We start from the raw sequence: 27,982 nt of genomic DNA, 5'->3' as shown, positions 1-27,982 counted from the left end.
CAATCCACTGTTGATGGATACCGAGATTGATTCCATGGCTTTGCTATTGTGAATAGTGCTGCAGTGAAGATACGAGTGCATGTGTCTTTTTGGTAGAATGATTGGTTTTCTTTTGGGTATATACCCAGTAATGGGACTGCTGGGTCAAATGGTAGTTCCGTTTTAAGTTCTTTGAGAAATCTCTAAACTGCTTTCCATACCAACAATGTATAAGTATTCCCTTTTCGCTGCAGCCTTGCCAGCATCTGTTGTTAAAAAAGACTGTATTGCTAAAAAATGCTAACAATTATCTGAGCCTCAGCAAGTCTTAATCTTTTTATTGGTGGGGGGATCTTATCTTGATGGCTGCTGACAGATCAGGGTAGTGGTTGCTGAAGGTTGGGGTGGCTGTGGCAATTTCTTCTTCCTCCTTCTTCTCTTTTTCCTCTCTTCCTACTCCTCCTCATCCTTCTTCCTTCCTCCTCCTTCTTTTCTTTTTTCTTTTTTTTTTTTTTTAGAGGCAGGGTCTCACTCTGTCACCCAGGCTGGAGGGCTGGAGCGTAGTGGTGTGATCATAACTTACTGCAGCCTCAAACTCTCAGACTCAAGCGATCATCCCGCCCCAGCCTCTTGAGTAGCTAGGACCACATGTGACTAATTTTTTTTTTCTTGTCCCTAATACTTTATTGGTCACCTCTAGGCCTGTGTGCTGCTGGGCGGGCTCGGGAGTGGGCGTCACTATTCAGCTCCCAGGAGGAGGCATGAGAAGGCCTTGGCCTAGCCCTCCAGGGTCCCAGACTGTGGTGTTTGGAGGGGCAGGTCTGGCCTTTCCTGGGTCAGCACAGGGCACCTAGGTAGGGGCACAGGTGAGCACCCAGCACAGGCACCTAGGTAGGGGCACAAGCTCACTATCCATTGGCCAGCCTAATTTTGTTTGGAGAAATATTCCTCGCCGTCATCCACGTTGAGCTTAATTGTGTCACTGCCAAGCTTCCAGCCAGCAGGACAAACTTCCCTGTGCTCGTCCGTGTACTGGATGGTCTGGACCAGCTGCAGAGCCTCATCCAATGAGCGTCCCACAGGCAAATCATTAACAGTGATCTGGCAAAGGACACCCTTGCCATCAATGATAAAGAGGCCCCAGTAGGCAATGCACTCATCTGTTTTCAGCTCACCGTAATCCTCAGATTGCCACATTAGCAAGCAGGGGGATGTTCAGGGGGCCCAAGCCTCCCTCCTTCCGGGGGATGTTAATCCAAGCCAGGTGGGTGAACTGAGAGTCCACCAAGATGCCCAGCACTTCGCAGCCCAGCTTGCGGAAGTCCTCGGCATGGCTGCTGACTGCAGTGATCTCCGTGGGGCACACAAAAGTGAAGTCCAGAGGGTAGAAAAAGAGGACCACGTACTTCCCTTTGTAGTCTGACAGCTTCACCTCTTTGAAGGCGCCATCCACCATGGATGTGGCCTTGAAGTTAGGGGCAGGCTTTCCCATGCACGCATTACCTGAGGCCATGACTGAACAAGCTGTGTGGGCAAAGGCTAGATGCACGGACGATCACGTGCGTGGACCCGCGTTCTCAGTGCCCATGTGACTAATTAAAATTTTTTTTTTTTTTTTTTTAGAATTGGCATCTTGCTATGTTGCCCAGGCTGGTCTTGAACTTCTAGCCTCAAGTGATACTCCTGCCTTGGCCTCCCAAAGTGTTGGGATTACTGGCATGACCCAATGTGCCTGGCCCAGGGCAATTCTTAAAATAACAACAAAGTTTGGTGGACGTATTGACTCTTCCTTTTGTGAAAAATTTCTCCATAGCATGCAATTATACTGTTTGATAGCATTTTACCCACAGTAGCAATTCTTTCACAATTGGAGTCAATCCTCTCCAAACCCTGCTGCTGCTTTATCAACTAGGATTATGTAGTAATCTAAATCCTTTATTGTTATTTCAACAGTGTTCACAAGCATCTTCACCAGGAGTAGATTGCAGCTCAAGAAGCCACTTTCTTTGCTCATGCATAAGAAACAACTCATCCATTCAAGTTTTTTTTTTAATTTTTTGTAGAGATGGGGTCTTGCTGTGTTGCCCAGGCTGGTCTTGAACTCCTGGTCTTAAGTGATCCTTTTGCCTTGGCCTCCCGAAATGTTGAGATTACGGGTGTGAGCCACTGTGCCCTACCCCGTTTATGTTTTGTCATGAGATTGCAGCAATTCAGTCACATCTACAAGCTCCACTTCTAATGCTAGTTCTCTTGCTTTTTCTACCACATCTGCAGTGATTTCCTCCAATAAAGTCTTGAAACCCTCAGAGTCATCCATGAGGACTGGAATCAATTTCTGTAACACTCCTGTTAGTGTTAATGTTTTGACATCCTCCCTTGAATCACAAATGTTCTTACTGGCATCTAGAAGGGTGACTCTGTTCCAGAAAGTGTTCAATTTACTTTGCCCAGTTTCATCAAAGGAAATCACTATCTATGGCACCTATAGCCTTAAAAAATGTATTTCTTAAATAATAAGATTTGAAAGTTGAAATAACTCCTTTATCCATGGCCTGCAGAATGGATAAGCAGGCATGAAAACAGCATTTATCTCTTTGTACATCTACATCAGAGCTCTTTGGTGACCAGGTGCATTGTCAGTGAGTGGCAATATTTTTAAAGGAATCTTTTTTTCTGAGCCATAGCTCTCAAAGTTGGGCTTAAAATATTCAGTAAGCCATACTGTAAACAGATGTGCTGTCATCTAGACTTTGCTATTCCATTTACAGAGCACAGGCAGAGTAGCTTCAGCATAACTCTTAAGGGCCCTAGGATCTTCATATTAGTAAATGAGCATTGGCTTCAACTTCAAGTCGTCAGCTAAATCAGCCCCTGACACGAGAGCCAGCCTGTCCTTTAAGGCTTTGAACCCAGGCATTCACTTTTCCTCTCTAGCCAGGAAAGTCTTAGATGAAATATTTTTCCAATAGAAGGCTATTTTGTCTACATTGAAAATCTGTTGTTTAGTGTAGCCACCTTCATCAATGATCTTAGCTAGTTCTAGACAACTTGCTGCAGCTTCTACATTAGCACTTGCTGCTTCACCTTGCACTTTTGTGTTATGGAAAAGGCTTCTTTCCTTAAACCTCATAAACCAGTCTCTACTTGCTTCATACTTCTGCAGCATCCTCACCTCTTTCAGCCTTCATAGAATTGAAGACAATTAGGGTCTTGTTCTGGATTAGGCTTTGGCTTAAGGGAATATTGTGGCTGGTTTAATCTTCTGTCCAGACCACTCACACTTTCTCCATATCAGCAATAAGGCTGTTTTGCTTTCTCATCATTCATATGTTCACTGGAGTAGCACTTTTAATTTCTTTCAAGAACTTCTTCTTTGCATTTACAACTTGGCTCTTTGGCACGAGAGATCTACCTCTTGCCCTATCTTAGCTTTCAACATGCCTTGCTTGCTAAGCTTAGTCATTTCTGGCCCTTGATTTCAAGTGAGAGACATGCAACTATTCCCTTTCACTTGAACACTTAGAGGCTATTGTAGGGTTCTTCATTGGCCTAATTTCAGTATTGTGTCTCCGGGAAAAGGAGGCCCGAGGAGAAGAGAGAGAGAGGGCAACAGCCTATTGGTAGGGCAGTCAGAACACAGTATTTATCAATTATATTCACCTTGCTATAGGGCATGGTTTGTGGTGCCCCAATACAATTACAACAGTAACATCACTGATCACTATTAACAGATATAATAAAAATGGAGAAGTTTGGAATATTGTGAGAATTACCAAAATGTGACATAGAGACACAAAGTGAGCACATGCTGTTAGAAAAATGGCACCGGTAGACTTGCTGGATGCACAGTTGCCATGAATCTTCAAATTGTAAAAAATGGTGTCTGCGAAGTGCAGTAAAATGAGGCGCGGTAAACTGAGGTGGGCCTGTGTAGGGAGAAGGGAACAGGAGAGTGCATGGTGAGAGTTGGAGGTCAAATACAAAGTGGCAAAAGGGAGTTTTCTGGGGTGATGGAAATGTTCTTTACCTTTGTTGTGGTGGTAGTGGTGGTTATGCAGTTTATAAAGTTTTCAAAACTCATCAACTGTACACTTAAAATTAGTGGAATTAATTGTATGAAAATTATACCTCAATAAAGCTGATTTTTAAAAAGCAGGCAGAATTCATCTGTGGTATCAGAATAGTGATTAAAGTACTGACTGGGAGGGATGAAGGATCCTTCTGGGGAGTTGGAAGTGTTCTGTATTTTGAAGGGGTGTTGCCGGGGTGTACACAGTGTATGTGCACAGTGTAAAAGGTCATTGAGCTGCACACTTAAGACTTGTGCACTTTAAGTTATATACCTCAATAAAAAAGGAAAAAGTTCTAAAGAAGGATTATAATATAAAGTTGAGAACATCTCCAAGAAAGTAGAGCAAAAGGACAGAGAGGTGGAAAAAAGGAGGGAAAAACTAAGAAAATTAGAGGACCAGCTGAGGAAGTCTAATTCCTGGATAAAAGGCATTTCACAGCAGAAAAAAAATGGAAAGAAATTTTTAATGAAATTCAGGAAAGAAATTTTAATAATTCAGAATATTTCCTAAAATGGAAAGACATTAATTTCTACATTGAAAGAACCCCAGATAGACCCATTTCAAAGCATATCATCAAAAATTTTAGAAAACTCATGTCAAAGAGAAGTTTCCAGAAAAGGGGAAAAACAAGTGATATATAACGAATTAGGAATTTAAATGACTTCAGTCTTCTTAACCTAATATTGAAACCTAAAATGTATTAGGGAAATGCCATAAAAATTCTCAAGGAAAATTATTTCCAAACTAAGATTCAGTAGCCAGGCAAATTCTCATGGAAGTATGAGGGTAGAATAAAGGTATTTACAGACATGCACAGTTGCAAAAATTTTTTCTCCCAACTGTAGAAAATGTGCTCCATAAAGGTAAGAGAGTGAAAAAAGAAAGAGAAAGACATGTGATACATAAAAAAAGGACAGCATAGAGGAGGCAGAAGGGCTCCCCAGGATGAAGGGAGGTACCAAGTTGAACAGCCTTGGAGGGTAGAAAGAGATAGTGTCTTTCTCCAGAGCAAAGGTCAGGTTTGCTTACAGCCTTGGAAGATACAGTATCTCCCTTTGGAACAAGGGGTAGGGAAGCATAAAACTTAATAGATTCAGGTTCTCTAAGCTTAGGCCTCCTCTCCTGTAATGCAGACTACTTCCTTTGCAGGTGTTACATGGCCCTTTTCAAATTGCCCCATGGGAATTGGGGCTTGGGGAACTGATGGAAAAAAAAAAAATACCTTGGGTTAGGTTGTCTTCTGGAAGCTTTATAGTTTTAACTCTTACATTTAGGTCAGTAATCCATTTGAGTTAATTTTTGTATGTGATGTGAAGTAAGGGTTGAGATTCAGTTTTTGTTTTGCATATGGATAGCCACTTTGTTTCAGGACCCTTTTGCTGGAAAAAATTGTCCTTCCCTCATTGAATTGCTCTGGCACTTTGGTTGAAAATTAGTTGGCTTTGTATGTATGAATCTGTTTCTTGACTCTCTAGTTTCTTTCACTGATCTTTGTGTCTGCCTTTATGTCAGTTCCACACTGTCTTGATTACCGTAACTTTATTTTTTTTTGAGATGGAGTTTCGCTCTTGTTGCCTTGGCTGGAGTGCAGTGGCGCGATCTCGGCTCACTGCAACCTCCTCCTTCCAGGTCAAAGCAGTTCTCCTGCCTCAGCCTCCCGAGTAGCTGGGATTACAGGCATGCCCCACCGCACCCGGCTAGTTTTATATTTTTAGTAGAGACGAGGTTTCTTCATGTTGGTCAGGCTGGTCTTGAACTCTCAACCTTAGGTGATCCACTCTCCTCGGCTTCCCAAAGTGCTGGGATTACAGGCATGAGTCACCGTGCCCGGCCATGATTACTGTAACTTTATAGTAAATTTTAAAATCATGTAGTAGACATCCACCCCCAACAGGCATTTTTCCCCTCAACCCCTTAGAAGTACCCCACCTGAATACATCTGTGTTAGTAAGTCCTACTTTATTGTTTTTCAGAACTTTTGTCTATTTTGTGTTCTTTCATTTCCATGTAAGTTTTAGAATCAGCTTGTCAATTTTTCCTAAAAAGGCTGCTGGGATTTTGATTGGGATTCCATTGACTCTATGGGTCACTTTCAAGATAATTTGACATCTTACGCATATTGAGTGTTTTTATTCATAAACACATACACACATATCTATTAATTTAGGTCATCTTTAATTCTCTTAGATTTTAATAGTTCTCAGGTTACAGATCTTGCACATATTTTGTTAAATTTATCCCTGAATATTTAATATTTTTTGGATGATTTTACTCTTTTTAGTTTCCAGTTATTTCTTGTATGTGGAAATAAGATTGATTTTTGTACACTGACCTCTTATGCTGCAACCTTACACAACTCGTTTATTAGTTCTGGAGCTATTTGCAGATTCCCTAGGATTTTCTCCACTGACAATCATGTTTTCTGTAAATAAAAGCAGCTTTACTTCTTTTCCAATCTGCATGCCTTTTATTTTTGTATCGCCTTATTGCACTGGTTAGAACCTCAGTTCTAATGTGGAATAGAAGGGGTGAGAGCAAATATCCTTGTCTTGTTCTTGATCTTGGAGAGCATTTAGTCTTTCACAATACATATGCTAGCCGTAGGTATTTCATAGATGTCCATTACTCGGTTGAGTAAATTGCCTTTTATTCTTAGTTTGCTAAGCATTCTTATGAATTATGTTGAATTTTGTCAAATACATTTTCTGTATCTATTGAGATGATTTATAATGTTTCATTTTTATTCTCTTAAAATTGTATTGATTGGTTTTAAAATAAACCATCTTGAATTCTTGGGGAAAACGTCACTGGGTCATAATACATTATCTATTTCGTCACTGGGTCATAATACATTATCTATTTTACATATTGCTGGATTTGATTAGCTAAAATTTAAAGATTTTTTGTATCTATGTTTTTAAGGGATATTGATATTGTAATTTTCTGATAAGATCTTTGTCTGATTTTGGTGTAAGGCTAACACTGGCTTTAAAATATGAGTTGGATAGCCAAAAGAACTATGGCAAAAAAAGGAAAAAAAAAGAGTTGGAAATATTTCTACCTCTTCTGTATTCAATTTCATTAATTGATAAAGGAGTATTCCGATTAACTACTCTGTCTCTTCTTGGGCAAGCTTTGGTGTGTGACCATCATAGAATTTGTCCATTTCATTAAACTCTCTTTTGTCTTTCAGTAGCTCCAAGGTTTGTAGTGATAGCCCTCCTTCATTTTTTGTTTTGGTAATGTGTATTTTTTTTTTTCTCTCTTTCCTGGTCAATCCTACTAGAGGTTTATTCATTTTATTGATATTTGTGAAGAACCTGCTTTTGGCTACATTGAAATTTTCTCTTGTTTTTCTGTTTTCTATTTCATTGATTTCTTCCCTCAACTTTATTACATTGTTCCTTCTGCTTCTTTTGGTTTTAATTTGCTTCCCTTGCTAGATTCTTAAGATAGAAGCTGAAAGCAAGAGTCGGCAAACTGCAGTCCAGGGGCCAAATCCAGCTTGCCACTTGTTCTTGAATGGCTCATGAATCAGGAATGATTTTTGCATTTTTATAAGGTTGAAGAAAAATCAAAAGAAGAATACTATTTTGTGACATGTGGAAATTAAATGAAATTCAGATTTCATTGTCCACATATAAGGTTTTATTGGAACACAACCACACTTAGTTGTTTACAAATTGTCTCTGGCTGCTTTTGTGCTGGAATGGCAAAGTTGAGGGGTTGTGACAGAAACCATGTGGCATTCTCATTGCTTTTGCACTGCTGTTTCTGAACTGTAATCACTGTTTTAAGTGCCATGCATATCACTGTGCTGTGACATTTTACTTTATTATCAATGCATACACATCATGTCAAAACAAGAAAAGATGAAAAAAATAGACTTGGAATGTTATACTTTTAAAGCATGCTGAAGCATGGATTATTGAGTTATGACAAGGCATTGTATTATGCAGTGATACTATAGCTGTGTTAAATACAATATACACTGATATTACCAGACTCTGCATTCATCACAATATTCCCAACTCACAGGAAAGTAATGGTCAGAAAAATGAGAAAACATAAAAAGGAATATCTTATTCCAGTAGAATTTCTTTACAAAATTAGAAAATAAAAATCAGGCTGCACCCAGAGTAAACTTCCAAGTGGCTCATTTGTTAACCAAGCAAGGAAGTCATTTATCAATAGTGAAGTAACTAAATTGTGTTGGTTACAACAGGCGCAGAATTGTGTCTGGAGAAGGTAAACTTAAGACTGTTAGTCTTTTGGCAAGAAGAGTTGCTCAAAGAATTGAGGACATCAATAATCAATTAAAAAGGCAAATTATTTTGAGTGGTTTTCCTTGGCTTTTGATGAGTTGACAGATGTTACCAATACTGCTCAGTTGTTTATTTGAAAAGTCAAGGCTGAGTTTGAAGTGTTAAATAATCTTAATGAATAGTGTGTGTAGAATAGCTAAAGATAAGAATATTTCAAAAAGTTGAGAAAACACTAATGGCATGCAACCTGAATGAAGTGTAGTCTGCTAAGATGTGTTATAACTGATGGTAGTAAAAATTTGTATAGAATAGAAAAGAATTCAGGTGGACAAATAAAGCTGTGAAAGTGTAAGAAGTTTGAAGTCTACAGTTACTTATTTTATTTCTTAGCAGGTATTTTGCAGAGAATGTTTGAATCTATCATGTAATCTTGAACCAGTAGTGTCAACATTTGCTCTTGTGGACTTAACCATTGTCAGTTCTAGGAATTTTTGTCAGAAATAGAAGCTGAATATTCTCACTTGCCCTGCTGTACAGCAATTTGATGGTTTAATAGTTGTAAGGCTTTATTGCAAACTTTTGAATTTAGAAGTGAGATTGAAATTTTTCTGAATGTGAGAAACTGCTGTCAATCTGAATATTGAACGCTGAATGGCTTTAGAAATCAATTTGTGATGCAGACTCAATAGTATTTCTTAATGAATTCAACCTAAAATTACAAGACAAAACAGTTGTTATATCAAAACTAATACTGCAGTAAAGTTATTTCAATGGCAACCACTATTCTTTGAATCACAAGTAATATCAAGTAATTTTATATAGCTTTCCATGCTGTTATAAGTTAAAGCAAAGAAGTAAGGTCTCCATTCCTACCCAGTTTGCAATAGGTATGTTTTCTGAGTTCAAACTACAGTTTCAGCAGCATTTTTTAGAACTCGATGTAAGTGCCAAGGAAATTTCCATTTAACTGTGCAGTTGAGGCACTTCTTATTTAACCTTTAATTGGAATGATTAATCTGCAAATAATGGCACGTAAATACTAAGAGTAAATCCTTTAGATGCCTTCCAAACAATGATTATGCTGAATTGAAATCATATGCTTGTGACTACTATCAGTATAAAGTAGCACCTAACCTACTTTGAAAAGTAGACATTTTCAAACATGAAATGTATTGTATTCAAGGTAAACATTAGAATGTATGAACATTTGTGATTGATTTTGATGATAGGGAATACTAACTTTGAATCCCAACTAAGTGAAATATTGTCCCTAAAAAGAGTTTCATTCTTCTCCTTAGTCAACCTGTCTTACAGAAAGTTGTACTCTGTTATTGTTTCTATAATATTTTGAATTGCATCGATAAGAATTATGGAATTTTTTGTCTCATTATATAAGTAGTTATATAATATCCTTCATTTTGTTTGTTAGCTGTCAAAGCCTAAAATATTTACTTGTTAGGTCTTTTACAGGAAAAGTTTGGCAACCCCTGATTTGTATCAGGATATTTTTATCTTTTATAGTTTTGTGTCTGTATTTGTAAGTAGGATTTATGCTTTTGTTTCACAATGACTTTAAAGGGAAATAATTTATAGAGCATCTTTGTTTCTACTGGATTTATTAATTACATATTATTCATTATAATAAGGCCATATTGTTTCGTGTTAATGTTCTAAATTTGAAGATGACACTTTGTGTGGTTGTCCTGTATTCTGTGGATAGATCCACTGGACATTGAAATTTGTTACTGTGTAAAAGTAGTTGTATTAGTCCATTCTCATGCTGCTATGAAGAAATACCTGAGACTGGGTAATTTATAAAGAAAAGAGGTTTAAGTGACTCACAGTTCTGCATGGTTGGGGAGGCCGCAGGAAACTTACAATCATGGCGGAAGGCACCTCTTCACAGGGCTGCAGGAGAGAGAATGAATGCCAGCAGGGGAAATGGCAGATGCTTATAAACCCATCAGATCTCATGAGACTCACACATTATCATGAGAACAGCATGGGGGAACCACCCCCATGATCCAGTCACCTCCATGTGCTCCTGCCCTTGACATGTGATTATTACAATTCAAGGTGAGATTTGGGTGGGAACACAGAGCCAAACCATATCATCCTGCCTGTGGCCCTTCCCAAATCTTATGTCCTCACATTGCAAATCATTCCTTTCCAACCGTCCCCCAAAGTCTTAACCCATTCCAGACTCAAAAGTCCAAATCCAAAGTCTCATCTGAGACAAGGCAAGTTCCTTCCACCTATGAGCCTGCTTCAAAAGCAAGTTAGTTACTTTCTAGATATAAGGGGAGTATAAGCATTGGGTAAATATACCTGTTCCAAATGGGAGAAATTGGCTAAAACAAAGGGATATAGGCCATGCAGTTCTGAAATCCAATCGGGCAGTCATTAAACCTTAAACTTCCAAAATTATCTCCTTTGACTCCACGTCTGACATCCAGGTCACACTGATGTCAGAGGTAGGTTCCCATGGCCTTGGGCAGCTCCACCCCTGTGGCTTTGCAGGGTACATCCCCACCTTCTGGCTGCTTTCACAGCTGACCTTGAGTGTCTGTGGCTTTTCCAGATGCATAATGCAAGCTGTCAGTGGATCTACCATTCCGGGATCTGTAGGATGGTGGCCCTCTTCTTACAGCTCCACTAGGCAGTGCCCTAGTGGGGACTCAGTGGAAGTTCCAGCCACACATTTCCCTTCCACACTTCCCTAGCAGAGGTTCTCCATGAGGGTCCTGCCCCTGCAGCAGACTTCTGCCTGGACCTCCAGGCATTTCCATACATCCTCTGAAATCTAGGTGGAGGTTCCCAAACCTCAGTTCTCATCCTGTGCACTTGCAGGCCCAGCACCATGTGGAAGCTGCCAAAACTTGGGGCTTGTACCCTCTGAAGCCATGGCCTGAGTTGTACCTTGGCCCCTTTTAGCCATGGCTGGAGTGGCTGGGTGCAGAGCACCAAGTCCCGAGGCTGCACACAGCAGAGGGGCCCTGGACCCAGCCCAGGAAACCCATTTTTCCCTCTTAGGCCTCTGGGCTTGTGATGGGAGGGGTTGCCGACATCTCTGACATGCCCTGGAGGCATTTTCCCCATTGTCTTGGTGATTAGCTTTTGATTCCTTGTTACTTATGCAAATTTCTGCAGCTGGCTTGAATTTCTCCCCAGAAAATGGGTTTTTCTTTTCTATTGCATTGTCAGGCTACACATTTTCTAAACCTCTATTCACTGCTTCCCTTTTAAACATAAATTCCAATTCCAAACCATATCTTTGTGAATGCTTAAAACTGTATGCTTTTAAGAGCAATCCCCCCTTCCAAATCACCTCTTGAACACTTTGCTGCTTAGAAATTTATTCTGCCAGATACCATAAACACCTCTCTCAAGTTCAAAGTTCCACAAATCTCTAGGGCAGGGACAAAATGCTGCCAGTCTCTTTGCCAAAGCACAGCAAGGACAAGTTCTTCTTCATCTGCAACCACCTCAGCTTGAACTTCATTGTCCATATCACTATCATCATTTTGGTCAAAACCATTCAGCAAGTCTCTAGGAAGTTCCAGAGTTTCCCACATTTTTCTGTGTTCTTCTGAGCCCTCCAAACTGTTCCAACCTCTGCCTGCTACCCAGTTCCAAAGTCACTTCCACATTTTCAGGTATCCTTGTAGCAGCACACCACTCCTGGTACTAGTCTACTGTATTAGTCCTTTCTCACACTGCTGTGAAGAAAAACTTGAGACTGGGTAATTTATAAAGAAAAGAGGTTTAATTGACTCCCAGTTCTGCATGGCTGGGGAGGCTCAGAAAACTTAGAATCATGGGGGAAGGCACCTCTTCACAGGGCAGCAGGAGAGAGAATGCATGCCAGCAGGGGGAATACCAGATGCTTATAAAACCATCAGATCTCATGAGACTTACTCATTATCACAAGAACAGCATGGAGGAAACTGTCCCCTTGATCCGTTACCACCACGTGGTCCTGCCCTTGACACGTGGTGATTATTACAATTTAAGGTGAGATTTGGGTGGGGACACAGAGCCAACCCGTATTAGTAGTGTACTATTTGTTGCAGTGTGATTCTCAAGTAATACAACTCTGCCTTCATGGAACCTTATAAGAGGAAAATAACATGCCAAACACATAAACATTTGTTTTTAAAAATGTGTTGGAGTCCTTTGAAATGCCTAGAACTAGTGATGGTTAATTTTCAGGAAGAATTTTTGAGTCCCTGAAGAACAGATAAGAGATTGAGAGTCAGAGTAGAAGAGTCAGGCTCCCCAAACCAAAGTTTAATTCCCTGAAGAAGGCATAGAGTAGTATTTTGATTTTCTTCTTTATGTGTATTCATTGGTTTACTGTTCCTGGAAATCAGAAGGCAATTTTGACACTTTCTCAGGATATCATTCTCCTGTAACTCTGGACTTGCTATTCTTTTTAGTCTTGGGAGGAAAGTATCTTTGCATAGAAGCCTTGGATGATTCTAGGAGACTTTTGGAAAGCCTGGAAGAAAAGCCAGAATTACTGGACTGGAGAGCTTTGGTGGAAGCCAGAAATCTAGAGGGTATTCTAACTAACATCTTATAGAAAGGAAAATAACAATAGTTATTTGCATGGCCAAAAAGATATAGAGAATGATGGGGTCTTAGAAGATTACAAATTGGGGTTCAGAGAGTGTAATTTATAGGTGTTTGCTTAGATTTAAGTTTGAGGCAATTACATGAGTATAAATGGTACATGGACAACTATAGACTGTTCTTTAAAATGTATTCTTTAAGTATAACTTTTTATTCTTGGGGCCAAGAAGTTTTAGTGATAACTAGTTTTTATAGTTTCAACTGACTTCAGTAGAAAATATATTCATATATTTATGTGATATTCATATTTTTTATATTGTCAAGAATAAATTGAATAAAAAAAAATTTCATCTGTTATTGCAGCCTATGGTAATTATAAAGGAATAAGGAAAACTAGTGTCCGGTTTTATGTACCTGTAAGTAAATCAGTAGTTCAGAGCTGTGTAACCTTTCTCCCTATTATTTCCGTGGGTGTTCTTTTGTAATCTCCTTTGTACTTCCAAATTTGAAAACGTTGTTTAGTGTTGTAAGATGCATTCAGATAACCTCAAAGAATGGTAACTATTTTGACTTTCAAAGTAGTTCTAGACTGGGCGCAGTGGCTCACGCCTGTAATCCCAGCACTTTGGGAGGCTTAGGTGGGTGGATCACCTAAGGACAGGAGTTCAAGACCAGCCTGGCCAACACAGTGAAACCCATCTCTACTAAAAATACAAAAATTAGCCGGGCATGGTGGTGCACCCCTATAGTTGCAGCTACTCAGGAATCACTTGAACCTGGGAGGTGGAGGTTGCAGTGAGTCAAGATCATGCTGCTGCACTCCAATCTGGGCAATAAAGTGAGTCTCTGTTTCAAAAAAAAAAAAAAAAGTAGTTTTAAACATATTTTAAAGAATAATAAATGTTTTAAAGTCAGTGCTGAAAATTTTTAAAAAGTCATTATATTTTATGTTTAGGTCTCTGAAAGAAGATGAATTTGGCTGAGATTTGTGATAATGCAAAGAAAGGAAGAGAATATGCCCTTCTTGGAAATTACGACTCATCAATGGTATATTACCAGGGGGTGATGCAGCAGATTCAGAGACATTGCCAGTCAGTCAGAGATCCAGCTATCAAAGGCAAATGGCAACAGGTAAGATGGTATTAAAGTATTAGATGAGTTAGGATGGCAGTACCCTATTATACTTGAGAGATTAGAGTTGGAAAATCTAATTTTGAGTTTGAGATGGAAATAGTGCCTATTTATCTCAATACTGAAATACATTTAAAATATACTCTTGAATAATTTTCTAGTATCTTACCTGGTTAATGTTTTTTGATCATATATTTCGTGAGGGATGTTTTGAAAATATTTAATTCCAATTGAATCTACTTTAACTTTTTTCTCTTTTCATGATCAGTTACCTAATTGTGTGACTGCAAACTTTTGAAATAAAGTATTTCATTCATTCATTCCTTTTTTTTTTTTTTTTTTTTTTTTTGAGACAGAGTCTTGTTCTGTCGCCCAGGCCGGAGTGCAGTGGCGCAATCTCGGCTCACTGCAACCTCTGCCTCCCAGGTTCAAGCAGTTCTCCTCCTCAGCCTCCGGAGTAGCTGGGACTACAGGCATGTGCCACCACGCCCAGTTAATTTTTGTGTTTTTAGTAGAAACAGGGTTTCACCATGTTGGCCAGGCTGGTCTTGAATTCCTGACCTAGTGATCCACCCACCTCAGCCTCCCAAAGTGCTGGGATTACAAGCGTGAGCCGCTGTACCTGGCCCATTTTTTCTTTTTTTTTTTTCTTTTTTTTTTTGAGACGGAGTCTTACTCTGTTTCCCAGGCTGGAGTGCAGTGGCGCGATCTCGGCTCACTGTAAGCTCCACCTCCCGGGTTCACGCCATTCTCCTGCCTCAGCCTCCCGAGTAGCTGGGACTACATGCGCCCACCACCACGCCTGGCTAATTTTTTCTATTTTTTAGTAGAGATGGGGTTTCACCGTGTTAGCCAGGATGGTCTCGATCTCCTGACCTCGTGATCCGCCTGCCTCGGCCTCCCAAAGTGCTGGGATTACAAGCATGAGCCACCACGCCAGGCCTCTTTCTTTCTTTCTTTCTTTTTTTTTTTTTTAAAGAGACAGGGTTTTGCTCTGTCACCCAGGCTAGAGTGCAGTGGTGCCATCACAGCTCACTGCAGCCTCAAACTCCTGGGCTCAAGCGATCTTCCCATCTCAGCTTCCCAAGTAGCTAGGGGGACAGGTTCACACCACCATGTCCAGCAAATTTTTAAATTTTTTGTAAGGACTGAGTCTTGCTATGTTGCCCAGGGTGGTCTCAAACTCCTGGCTTCCAGTGATCCTCCTGCCTTGGCCTCTCAAAGCACTGGTATTACATGTGTGAGCCACTGTGCTGGACCTGAAATAAAGTATTCATACTTGCCCTTTTCCCTTTCATATTTACATGTTGTTTTGACCCATTTTGCAAAACTCTTTTGAAAGACTCCTTAAAAATACAAATGAGTCAGTAATCTAATAAAAAACATTACTATATTTGCTGTCTTTTGACTATATAATTTGATTATTTAATAAGACAGTTAAAAACTTGAATTTTAATTTGCCTACTTACCGTTTTTTAAATTTAATGTTTTAATTGATCAGTACCTTTTAGCATAGTTCTTGCTTTGCTGTTCTAATTCCAAATTAATTGTAACTTTTAAAAAAGAATTTTTTTTTTTTTTACAAATAATACTTATAAGCAATATATCTTTAAGGAAATAAAAGCATCTTCAATGATGTTTAAACAAAATTGGCTTTTGTTTTATAAGGACTTATTATTTAAGCTCGTGTTTTTCACCTGTTATACTAAAACAACGTAACATCCTTTTTAGAAAACGTTAAGTAAAAAAAATACAGAACACTCCAGGAGTTTGTGTGCATCTCGTGCAGGGAACATGCTGGTCTTCTCTGTGTTATTCCAATTTTAGTGTATGTGCTGCCAATGCAGACACTCCCCACTTAGTGTTAAAATTTAAAATCTTCTAAAAATTAAAAGTACAAAGTCAAGTGTTTCTTTGAAGTTTCCATTTTATGTACTAATGCCTTTCAAGTGTTTCTTCTAATTTTTCCATTAGTCAGAAATTGATGTTTTCCTAAGTTTTGAGGGTAAATTTGACTTATTTTCCAACTTAAATGTTACCAAGTTATATTGATTGAGAACAATATACTTGCTCCAACTCAGGCTCAAATTTTTAGTTGTTTTCTTCTATCCTTCCTATTAGCCACAGGCAGGGTATTTTATTAATCTATTATGGAAATGTTTTTTATATATTCTGAATTGTGTGTGTTAAATAGTGACCATTTCTACTCAGACATTTCTACTATGTTTCTTTCCACTGGGTTCTGAAATTACATTTCTTCCACTATAGCATATTCTGTAATTGCATGTATTAGCTGTTGAATTTTACCTAGCTTTTTCTTTGGATCTGTAACTCCTTCATATGTTCCTTTTAATATATCATTCAATATAAAGATGAGGGAAAATTTCTTATACTCTGCTTTACAGTGTGACGTGCTTTCTGGTTAAAAAAAAAAGAATTGTTAAAATGAATTTATAATTGTAATTTTCTTTTCTTTTCTTTTTTTTTTTTTTTGACATGGATTCTTGCTCTGTTGCCCAGGCTGGAGTGCAGGAGCGTGATTGTAGCCTCGAACTCCTGGGCTCAAGTGATCCTTCTGCCTCAGCCTCCTGAGTAGCTAGGACTATAGACTCGCACTAGGACTACAGACTCATGCTGTCATGCCTGGACTAATTTTTTTGTTTCCCCAGGCTGGTCTTGAATGTAATTTTTAATCTTTATCTGTTTGCTTTGGAAAATTAGTTTGGGCTCAAAGTTTGCAAACACAAGAATTTCCTCATAGTATGTGTTCAGTTAAATTTTTTAAATACAGGAAAAATCTTGTCTTTGAAATCAAAATAAACTTTACTCAGAACTCAAAATAATTTAAATAAGGCAAAAATAATTCAGATTTCAGGTGAAGGAGAATTTAAATAAAAACTGGAAGTTTGTAATTCATAGTATAATACTGCTTCTAGCTTTCAGACACTCATGACAGGCGTTTTATATTTAGTGATATTGGGAATAGGAAATGCTGTTGAAAATTTTGGCTTAATTTTTGGGAATCTATTTATAAATATATTAAAAGTATTTAGCACAATATTTTAGATTTCTTGGAATGTTTAACTTGTTACCTACTTAGTTGCTTGTTTTAAATTGTATTAATGATCATCACGTTCTTTGGTAGAAATGGAATTCCGTTATGAAAGATATATAACTACTTATTAAAAGGTATAGAATTATGATTTTTTCAAACTAATTTCTACCCTTTTCTCAGTATTACTTGAAATAGTTCTTTGTATTTATGAATGTTTTAATGATTCATTTTTCACCCTTTGACATTAAGAAAACGTGCACTCTATAGTAATTTATTATTTACAATTTATGAAGTATTTAAACAGCTTCTAGCATAAAGCCTATTTTTTTTTTTTAAGGTTCGGCAGGAATTATTGGAGGAATATGAACAAGTTAAAAGTATTGTCAGCACTTTAGAAAGTTTTAAAATTGACAAGCCTCCAGATTTCCCTGTGTCCTGTCAAGATGAACCATTTAGAGATCCTGCTGTTTGGCCACCCCCTGTTCCTGCAGAACACAGGTAAATAGGACTTTATATTCTCTTTAGGTGCTTCTAGTTAATTGATGTTCACAGTGAAGCATGTTTTGAACAAAGTATGAAAAATTATTTTTGGGGACATGTAATTTCAGTATCTGTTTTTAATATTCACATTTATACATTTACAGTTTTGTATTTGATAAAGTACAGAAGTAAATGACTTGTTACATATCTTGCTTTTAGAATGCTTTATTACGCTAATAACAATAGATGCCTATTGCTAGTCCTAAAATTTATCAGTTAAGAGAGGTCTTTTGGGTTTCGTAATGGCAGCATCAAAACTTGGATAGTTTTGCTTTTTTGCTTGAGGAGACTCTAACAACTTCAAATGAAGTAGTGGAGAAATTGAATTTTCCTAGTTGGGCCTACAGTCAATTTCCAGAGTTTTAGTGTAGAAGGAACCTTACCGATAATGTTTAAGAGGCTTATTACTTAAAGGTTACATTCCTCAGTGTGGCATCTCCCACCAGTTTTCTCTAATACCCAGCCTGTGCATCATTTACGTTAAACCTCTCTCTTTTTGCCTTTTTTTGGTCATCTTGTCTGTGCAGTCTCTTCTTTCTTCAAGGAATACCCATAATCCCCATCTCCAAACAACTCATATTCATTCAAGTCTCAACTCAACTGACTATCCCCTCTGCAGCCTCTTTTGATTTGCCCAGACATAGCAGTTTGTTCATAGTGGTTATCATGTTGCATTTATTTGTTGCTTCAAAAGATTTGCAAGGACAAGGACCATGGTTTTATTTACTTAAAAATTAAATAATAAACTTTCATTGCTAACGCAGGGTTTGGCACGTAGTAGGCATTCAACCAACATTGAATGAGTTAACACCATTAGTTTCACAAGGAAACTGAAGCCTGAGAGGCCCTAATCATGCTAGATCAGGATGTGAGTTTAGGTCTTTCTGGCTTTCTGTCTGCTTTATTATGGCCAGAGTATTGCACCGTAGAAAATACGTTTTCCTTTGGCCAGTAACTGTAATCATCTGTTGAAATTTTCTAAAAACATTTTAAGAACTATGAAAAGCATTTAATTTATTCCTTTGGATTTTTTCCACTGAATTACAGATAATTTTGTGATTTTCATTGTGAAAACAGTAGATGAGGATTCTTTTTTAAGGTCTACAACAATGTATTTTTCCTCTGATGTAACCACCTTCAGGTGTTTTATACTAGGGTAACCCATATCCCTCAAAAGGCAGTGTTTTAAGAGTCATACAGTGTTACCATGGAAGTTCCAAAATAAATACTGAAAGAAAGAATGACATTTTAGCCTACTATAACTTGAAATTTTCCTGTATGTATGTACAATGAAATACCTTGTTTTTTACTGAAAGTCATTAATTCTGAAATATACTTCTAGTTTAAACCTAAGAGCTGATAATAACTTCAAATATAGGACTATCTGCTCTGAATTGCTAGAGCACCATGATTCATTTCAAACAGCAGTGTCCGCAGATAATAACTAACATTGATGGCTCAAACTGAATAAAAAGTTGTGGATGACATTTTCCCATTGATGACTACTAATCTCAAAACATATCACTACAGTGACACTAGTCCAGTTATTTTCTTTTCTTTGTCCTTTCTTAACTGTTCATAACATAGATCTGACTTATTTTTGTACTTGTTTTTAAATCCCTTTTCTAAATGAAAGTGAAAGATGAATGGACCAGAATGTATTTCTCTGATTCTCCTTTCTTTGTACTAAATTTTTAAAAAAGTTTTCTTTGTGCATAGCCATTGTATGTGTGTTTTTTTTTTCCTCTTTGGATCAGAAACCCTGAATAAAAGCAAATCTCAGATTGTATATTGTCTGGAAAAAAAAAGATTTTCATTCCCATGTATACCATCAACAACAATAAGAAAACAACAACTCCACAAGGTTCTACTAGAGAAGGAAATATAATACATTGAGTAATAGCATGGGATTAATAGTTTAAAACTTTATGAATAAAGTTTCTATGTAAGCAACAACAGTGGGTCCTTCATCAATTAACAATATAAGGCAAATGTTAATGAATTAAATCTTTTTTTTTTTTTTTTTTTTTTTTTTTTTGAGACGGAGTCTCGCTCTGTCCCCCAGGCTGGAGTGCAGTGGCGCAATCTCGGCTCACTGCAAGCTCCGCCTCCCGGGTTCACGCCATTCTCCTGCCTCAGCCTCCCAAGTAGCTGGGACTACAGGCGCCCGCCACTACGCCCGGCTAATTTTTTGTATTTTTAGTAGAGACGGGGTTTCACCGTTTTAGCCGGGATGGTCTCGATCTCCTGACCTCGTGATCCGCCCGCCTCGGCCTCCCAAAGTGCTGGGATTACAGGCGTGAGCCACCGTGCCCGGCCTGAATTAAATCTTATGCTGGTTTGTGGCACAGAATGTATGCAAGGGCTGATAAAATAAATATTCAGATTGCAAATTTAGACTTAAAGGTTATGGAAGGTTAGAGTTGTATAATAATATTTTTCTTGTTTTATAAACTTCGTTTCTTCTCCAGGTCACATAAAACAAATATAATAAGATTTTCACTTAGCGATAGTGAATGTTAGATAACAGTCATTGGATATTCTTGGTTTAATGGAAAGACGTTTGACTTGAGTTGATGAGATTGTGAATTCTGCTTCTGAAACCTACTTGCTTTGTGACCTTGAGCAAGCTATTTAACCTCTCTAAACATTAGTCTCACTATCTGTAAAATGGGGATCTCTACTTCATGGAATTGAATAAAAAAAATTAAGACAGCAACTGGCATGTAATAAGTAATTAAAATTAATGGTCACCTCTGAAATAAAGGACTACAGCATTCTTTCAGAGAAATAGCAAGAATAACAGTTAAAAATGATAGCCTCATTCATAAAACAAGTCATTTTATTTTCTCCCTGCAGATTCTTCATAATTCCTTAGTTTCCTGAAACATTTCAATAACTCTGCAGAGAGGATATGGCTTTTTAAATGTCCAAGTCTTAAGCAGTTGGTGATTATTTTCAGGGAAAGGATGATAGCTAATAATTATTAGTCACTTCCTGTATGTGTTATATGCATTATTTTATTTAAAACTCAAGTGATCCCATGAAGTTTAGGTACTGTTATTGTATATGCATATTATCATCACTAATTTATTATTATGAACCCCATTTACAGTAGAGGAAACTGAAGCTTATAGTTTGTAATTTTTCCAAAGTCATCTGAACAAGAAAGTAGCAGAGCCAGGATTTGAACCCAAGTCTCTTTCATCTTCAGGAGTCTTATTTGTATGCACTCTGCTATATTACTTTTGCATATATACTCAGTGGGTATGTTATGGGTATATTTTGATACACGTCTGTATATCCTGGTATTATCTACTTGTTAACATTCTTACTAGTGGTGGAAGAATAAAGAAACTGAAAATGCTTAATGAAATTTTGATATTTTAAAGGTAACTAAAAAGAACTTTCTAAGCAAGTACCACACTGAAATTACAATTTAAGTCAATAGGAAAATATAATATTTACTTCATCTTGTTTTGTTTTTTCTTTTTTTTTTTTTTTGCCATCTCTCACCTTGTAATTTACCCTGTTTTATACAAAGCATTTCAGAGATGCTTCTGATGTGATTGGCATTAGCCACTAATTTGGTAGCTCTGTTTATGGTTCTGTTCTTTTCACTTCATTGACTTTTAACACACACTTCTCCATTCCTATTGCTGACTACCAAGGTAATCTGTGTACTGTGGTTTTCCATCGGTGGTTTTGCCACATTGTTTGAAGTTCTACTTCTGTGTCATGCATCTGCTGAGTTTAATCATAATTAAGGTTTAAATCACCAGCAGTTGCTTGGATAAATCAAAATAATATTTTAAAATTTTGATTGATTGCCTTAAATGTGAGGAAACTGAGCTACAAAAGTAGGATCGTGGTGGTAGGTAGTGGAAATTTTAGAATTAAACTCCAAAGAGATGAAGTCTCTAGCTCATTCTTGGTGTCCTAAAATATTTCTTGTATTAACGAAATGATTTTATAATAGTTTACATGTAGGCTTATTAACTACATTTTCTTTAATGAGTTGGTTTCTTCCAGTAATACCTGAAGCCATGAAAGTAGTATTTTCTATATTGCAGCAGTATTCAACATGGTATATATTCAATAAGCTATTCTTTATTTAGCTTAAAAAATAAATATGGTAGGTCCTTTTTTCCCCCAACTTTATTGAGGTATAATTGACAATTAAAAATTGTATATATTTAAGGTATACAGGTTGATTATTTGATATATATATATATTTTTTGAAATATTTATCACAATAAGCTAATTAGCATATCAATTACCTCACATTTCTTTTGTTTTTCATTTTGTGGTGAGAACACTTAAGATCTACCCTCTTAGCAGATTCAGGTATACAGTATTGTTAACTACAGTCACCTTGCTGTACATTAGATATCTAGAACTTATCTTGCATGACTGAAACTTTGTACCCTTTGACCAATATCACCCCATTTTCTTCTCCCCTAGCCCCTGGTAATAACCACTCTACTCTCTTTCTATGAGTTTGACTCTTTTTATATTTCACATATAAGTGAGTAATATGGTTTTGATGTTTGTCCCATTAATCCCATGTTGAAATGTGACCTCCATTGTTGGAGATGGGGCCTGGTGGGAGATACAGGATCATGGGGACAGATTCCTCATGAATGGCTTAGTACCATTTCCTTGGTAATGAATGAGTTCTTGCTCAGTTCACATGAGATCTGATTGTTTACAAGAGTGCAGCACTGCCCCCGCAACCTCTCTTGCTCACTCTTTTGCCATGTGATATGCTGGCTTCCCCCTTTGCCTTCTGCCATGGTTGTAAGCTTCCTGAGGTCTCACCATAAGCCAAGCAGATGTTGGTGTTGTGCTTGTACAGCCTGCAGAACTATGAGTCAAGTAAACCTCTATTTATAAATTACCCATCCTCAGGTATTTCTGTATAGCAATGCAAAACAAAAACAAACAAAAAACAAAAACAGACTAACACAGTCAGATCACGTAGTATGTGTCTTTCTGTATCTGGCCTGTTTCACCTGCCACAAGGAAATGGTAGGATTTCCTTCTCTTAAGGTTGAATAATATTCCTGTGTGTGTGTGTGTGTGTGTGTGTGTGTGTGTGTGTGTGTGTGTGCGCGCGCGCGCGCGCGTATGTGTGTGCACACACCCCGCCCCCAACATATATGCACACATTTTCTTTATCCATTCATCTGTCAATGTATGTTTAGTTTGTTTCCATATTTGGCTATTACAGTAATGCTGAAATGAACATGAGAGTGCAGAGATCTGACACACTGATTTCATTTTCTTTGGCTGTATGCTCAGAAGTGGGATTGCTGGATCATAAGGTAGTTCTATTTAATTTTTTGAGGACTCTCCATACTGTTCTTTATAATGGATATGTAGTACCAATTTATTCCAAGTGGTAGGTCTTTCAAAGTTACATCTTTTGGGAGAGGTAGCAGTAAGAACAGGACACACAAGCCTGAAATTATTTTATTTCTTCTGTATAGGTGTGCTAAAACTCTAATAGGCCTTCTCAAGAACCAAGGGCAATGGTATACTGTGTTTCTGTATACATATAGATAGGAAGATTGATTTTTTTTTAAGATCAAATTAGTGCTATTCTGTAGAATTTCAGCAAAGAGGAAATTTTTATTGACTTGGTATTAAAGTTGTTGTCTTATGTTTCTTTGGGTACTCAGAGAGATTAACTGGCAGTATTTTACATCCCAAATTGCAGTGAAAAGATCAATTAAGGTCAAAGTCAAGTACTGATAGAGAATAAACTATCATTCATACATACAGGTATTTCACCCAGGCTCTGGCTCAGTTATTTTCCTGGGATTAGAAGGTTGGGGAGCAAGTTTTTCTATCAGTTCCACTACTAATTTAGTGATCCTGCAAGTTCCTTTCTGTATACCTCATTTTCCTTTCTGTAAAATGTATATTGAAGTGAGATTGCTTTGTAGGATGCTGGCCTCTGGATGCCTAGTATTGTGCCTGGTGCCGTCCCACATACGGTGGGATGCAGAAATAGACATGTTCCCTGCTCTCTTAGGCTTACGATTTTGTAGATGGGTGTGAGAGCCATTACTGAGTTAGAATGGACTGGATTTGGTGATTAATGAGATACACAGAATGAGAGAAAAATTGGAGCAGATAATATCTAGATCAAGCTGTTGAATAGGAGTTAGAAATGAGAACCAGACTTTGAGAGAGATTAGGATTCGTGTAGTTATTTCAGAATCATCAGGAACTAATGACAAAGAAATTTTAAGTTCATTCTTTATATGATGGAATAGGTTATTTGCCTAATACTATTGGCAGATTGAGATTATACTCATTTTCTTAAAATTCTGGAGTCATATTATCTTCTAAAATTCTGTTTCTGAAGTATGGGATGGACCCTATTTTTAGACTGAGTAGAATGTAAGTAGCAGGGCTGATTAAGCACACTAATAACTGACATTTAGTGAGTTCTTAACTGTGAACCAGGTATTGTGCTTTTACGTGGTTTCTTTTTAAATCTTCATAGCCATCCTTAAAATAGGTACTATTGTTACCATCCCTATTTTTTAGAAGACGACACTGAGGCTTAAAGATTCTAAGTTACTTTATCAAATGAGTGTAGGTCAGATAGGATAAGGATTGAGAATTGGCATGGATTTAGCAGCAGGAGATCACTGGTGGCCTTGTTGCACAGTTTTGGTGAAATGGTAGAGAATGATGGAATGGGTTCAGAGAACGCAGAGAGAGGAGCAGAAGATGATAAGTATGCACAGCTCCCTCAATGAGTCTGGCTGAAAAAGGGAGCCAGGAAAGTGAATGCTAGCTGGGGAAGACAAGTAGTTGAGGTTTGTTGTTTTAGAGAGAAAGGAATAACAGGATGTTTGTGTGCTGATGGGAATGCTGCAGTAGAAAGAGGAAAGTTGATGATGCATGGGCTAGATGGACAACTGCTGGAGCAATGCCCTTGAGGTGACAAGAGGAGATGGGATCTAATGCACATGTAGAGGGAGTGCATGGGCAGCTGGCTCAGAGTCACAGTAGGGAGGCAGGGGTATGTAAGGGTGTGGTTGTAGAGAGGTGGGCAGATATAGAGGTGAGCGCTTATGCAATCATTTCAGCAAGGAGAAAAATGTAAGCAAGACTATCTGAGATTGAGAACAGAGGGTGTTTTTCAGGGTCTAAATTCTGATCCAGTGTGTTCCAAGGGTGGGAGGACGTTCCATTTGGTTATTTTATTTTATTGTTCCTTTTATGTAAGATTTCTCTGGCGAGCGTTTATATTATTTTATAGAACTCAGTGGTCACTCTTAAGTTTCCATTCTCCAGTTCTAGGTATGTAATACAATAAGTGCCTAAAAACTTGGCATTTCTGTCTTTTTTTTTAATGTTACAGAAAAGGCAACTGAAAGACAGAAATTATAATTCATTAAAGATTAAGTAGTGGGAACAAGATAGTGGTAAGTCAGAATGAAGCCATAACACGTTACTTTTACATTTTTGTTGAAAAGATCTTTGCCTTGCTGCATGTTAGTGATTGTCATCTCCCCTCTTCCTTGCAAACTGCTGTTTAAGGTGTAGTATACATTTGTTGCCCTTCACTGCCCCTTTTTTCTTTTTTTCTTTCTTTTTTTTGAGACCAAGTCTTGCTGTGTCGCCCAGGCTGAAGTGCAGTGGCGCAATCTCAGCTCACTGCAACCTCCGCCTCCTGGGTTCAAGCAATTCTCCTGCCTCAGCCTCCTGAGTAGCTGGGATTACAGGCGTGAGCCACCACACCTGGCTAATTTTTGTATTTTTAGTAGAGACGGGGTTTCACCATGTCAGTCAGGCTGATCTCGAACTCCTGACCTCATGATCTGCCCGCCTCGGCCTCCCAAAGTGCTGGGATTATAGGCATGAGCCACTGCTCCCGGCCCCTTTTTTCTTAATTACAAGAAATCCTGCTGCTCTTCAGTCATTGCAGTATTAGGACTGAATTCTTGAAAATACCAAATAACTTCCTCACTTAATAATGAAAATGCCTCTTCTCTGGACTTACATTGTTTAACCTTCATAATACTTGATAATGTTGACCATCTTCTTTGGAACTCTCTTTTTCCCTCCTAAGGCTTCTGTGACATTACACAACTCTGTTTTTTTTTTTTTTTTTTTTTTCCTCTTTTCTTTTATTCTGACTGCAGCTTCTTTTATCTCTTCCACTTGTTGCTCCCTAGTCCTTAGCTTTGTGAGCCCTATGGAGCCAAAGAGCAGTAGAAAGAAGGTCCTTACCCTCCAGGAGCTCATGTTTTCTTTGCACAGAACTTGACAATCCACCAGGCTACAAGGGTTCTGATATAGTTTGGATCTATGTCCCTGCCTACATCTCATGTTGAATTGTAATCTCTAATGTTGGTGGAGGGGCCTGGTGGAAGGTGATTAGATCATGGGGGTGGATTTCCCCCTTTGGTGCTGTTCTCATGATAGGGTTCTCAAGAGATCTGGTTGTTAAAAAGTGTGTAGCACCTCCCTGACCTTCCGCCCGCACCCCCCAACCTCTTGCTGCTCTGGCCATGTGATGTGTCTTCTTCCCCTTCACCTTCTGCCATGATTGTAAGTTTCCTGAGGCCTCTCCAGAAGCTGAGCAGATGCCAGTTTCCTGTACAGCCTGCTGAACTGTGAACCAATTACACTTCTTTTCTTTGTAAATTACCCAGTCTCAGGTATTTCTTTATAGCAGTGCAAGAACAGGTTCTTGTCCTAGCCCTACCACATGGCTTCTCTGAGGACAAATCATTCAACCTGTCCCTCATTTTCCTCCTCTATAAGTTGGGGATCAGTATGAAAATTACTTCGTAGGGTTATTATGAGAATTAAATGATTTAACCCATGTAAAGTGTGAAGAACATCTGGACACATAGGAAGAGCTCAGGATGTGTTTGCCATTTTCATTGCCTATCCCTTACTTCCACCCCACTTGATGTTCACATGGCAAATGCCCTCACCTCATTTGTTCAAATGTCACTCACATAGAAAGCCCTACCCTGACCACCTTATTTAAAGTATTTACCCCTTCACTGTCACCACTCTTGTTCCCTTAGTCAGCTTTATTTTTCTTTTTTTTTTTTTATTTTATTATTTTTTGTTTATTGATCATTCTTGGGTGTTTCTCGCAGAGGGGGATTTGGCAGGGTCATAGGACAATAGTGGAGGGAAGGTCAGCAGATAAACAAGTGAACAAAGGTCTCTGGTTTTCCTAGGCAGAGGACCCTGCGGCCTTCCGCAGTGTTTGTGTCCCTGGGTACTTGAGATTAGGGAGTGGTGATGACTCTTAAGGAGCATGCTGCCTTCAAGCATCTGTTTAACAAAGCACATCTTGCACCGCCCTTAATCCATTTAACCCTGAGTGGACACAGCACATGTTTCAGAGAGCACAGGGTTGGGGGTAAGGTCACAGATCAACAGGATAAGAATTTTTCTTAGTACAGAGCAAAATGAAAAGTCTCCCATGTCTACCTCTTTCTACACAGACACGGCAACCATCCGATTTCTCAATCTTTTCCCCACCTTTCCCCGCTTTCTATTCCACAAAACCGCCATTGTCATCATGGCCCGTTCTCAATGAGCTGTTGGGTACACCTCCCAGACGGGGTGGTGGCCGGGCAGAGGGGCTCCTCACTTCCCAGTAGGGGAGGCCGGGCAGAGGCGCCCCTCACCTCCCGGGTGGGGCGGCTGGCCGGGCGGGGGGCTGACCCCCCACCTCCCTCCTGGACGGGGTGGCTGGCCGGGCGGGGGGGCTGACCCCCCAACCTCCCTCCCGGACGGGGCGGCTGGCCGGGCGGGGGGCTGACCCCCCACCTCCTTCCCGGACGAGGCGGCTGGCTGGGCAGAGAGGCTCCTCACTTCCCAGTAGGGGCGGCCGGGCAGAGGCGCCCCTCACCTCCCGGACGGGGCGGCTGGCCGGGCGGGGGGCTGACCCCCCCCACCTCCCTCCCGGATGGGGCGGCTGGCCGGGCGGGGGGCTGACACCCCCACCTCCCTCCCGGACGGGGCGGCTGGCCGGGCAGAGGGGCTCCTCACTTCCCAGTAGGGGTGGCCGGGCAGAGGTGCCCCTCACCTCCCGGACGGGGCGGCTGGCCGGGCAGGGGGCTGACCCCCCCCTCCTGGACGGGGTGGCTGCCGGGCGGAGACGCTCCTCACTTCCCAGACGGGGTGGCTGCCGGGCGGAGGGGCTCCTCACTTCTCAGATGGGGCGGCTGCCGGGCGGAGGGGCTCCTCACTTCTCAGACGGGGCGGTTGCCAGGCGGAGGGTCTCCTCTCTTCTCAGACGGGGCGGCCGGGCAGAGACGCTCCTCACCTCCCAGACGGGGTCGCGGCCGGGTAGAGGCGCTCCTCACATC

The 27,982-nt window shown here is 39.4% G+C and overlaps 1 protein-coding gene and 2 pseudogenes across 7 annotated transcripts in view, besides 1 other annotated feature; 1 reads left to right on the top strand and 2 right to left on the bottom strand.

The window, feature by feature from the left end:
* The window catches only part of KATNAL1 (katanin catalytic subunit A1 like 1), a 104,922-nt gene that overhangs the window by 9,913 nt on the left and 67,027 nt on the right, over positions 1–27,982 (top strand). For 5 of the 7 annotated variants that reach the window (NM_032116.5, NM_001014380.3, XM_024449424.2 and 2 more), the window contains exons 2-3: positions 13,848–14,023; positions 17,416–17,576. In NM_032116.5, coding sequence (NP_115492.1) covers positions 13,862–14,023; positions 17,416–17,576 — 323 coding nt within the window. In that variant the 5' untranslated portion in view covers positions 13,848–13,861. Of the gene's footprint in view, positions 1–1,427; positions 13,731–13,847; positions 14,024–17,415; positions 17,577–27,982 lie in introns of those variants that run through there. The other 2 variants (XM_047430703.1, XM_047430704.1) reach the window with 2 other exon arrangements.
* PRDX2P1 (peroxiredoxin 2 pseudogene 1) lies at positions 652–1,564 on the bottom strand (annotated as a pseudogene).
* Positions 11,138–11,760: an enhancer, noted in NCBI's record as "NANOG-H3K27ac-H3K4me1 hESC enhancer chr13:30860016-30860638 (GRCh37/hg19 assembly coordinates)". NCBI's record gives its function as "activates a minimal SCP1, AML or CMV promoter by ChIP-STARR-seq in primed H9 embryonic stem cells {active_cell/tissue: H9 hESC(primed)}" and the evidence as "EXISTENCE:reporter gene assay evidence [ECO:0000049][PMID:30033119]".
* On the bottom strand, positions 15,770–15,874 carry RNU6-64P (RNA, U6 small nuclear 64, pseudogene; annotated as a pseudogene).

The sequence above is a fragment of the Homo sapiens genome, chromosome 13 (assembly GCF_000001405.40).
Source record: "Homo sapiens chromosome 13, GRCh38.p14 Primary Assembly".
In the NCBI taxonomy this organism is placed as follows: Eukaryota; Metazoa; Chordata; class Mammalia; order Primates; family Hominidae; genus Homo; species Homo sapiens.
This window is presented reverse-complemented; position numbering and strand designations above follow the sequence as displayed.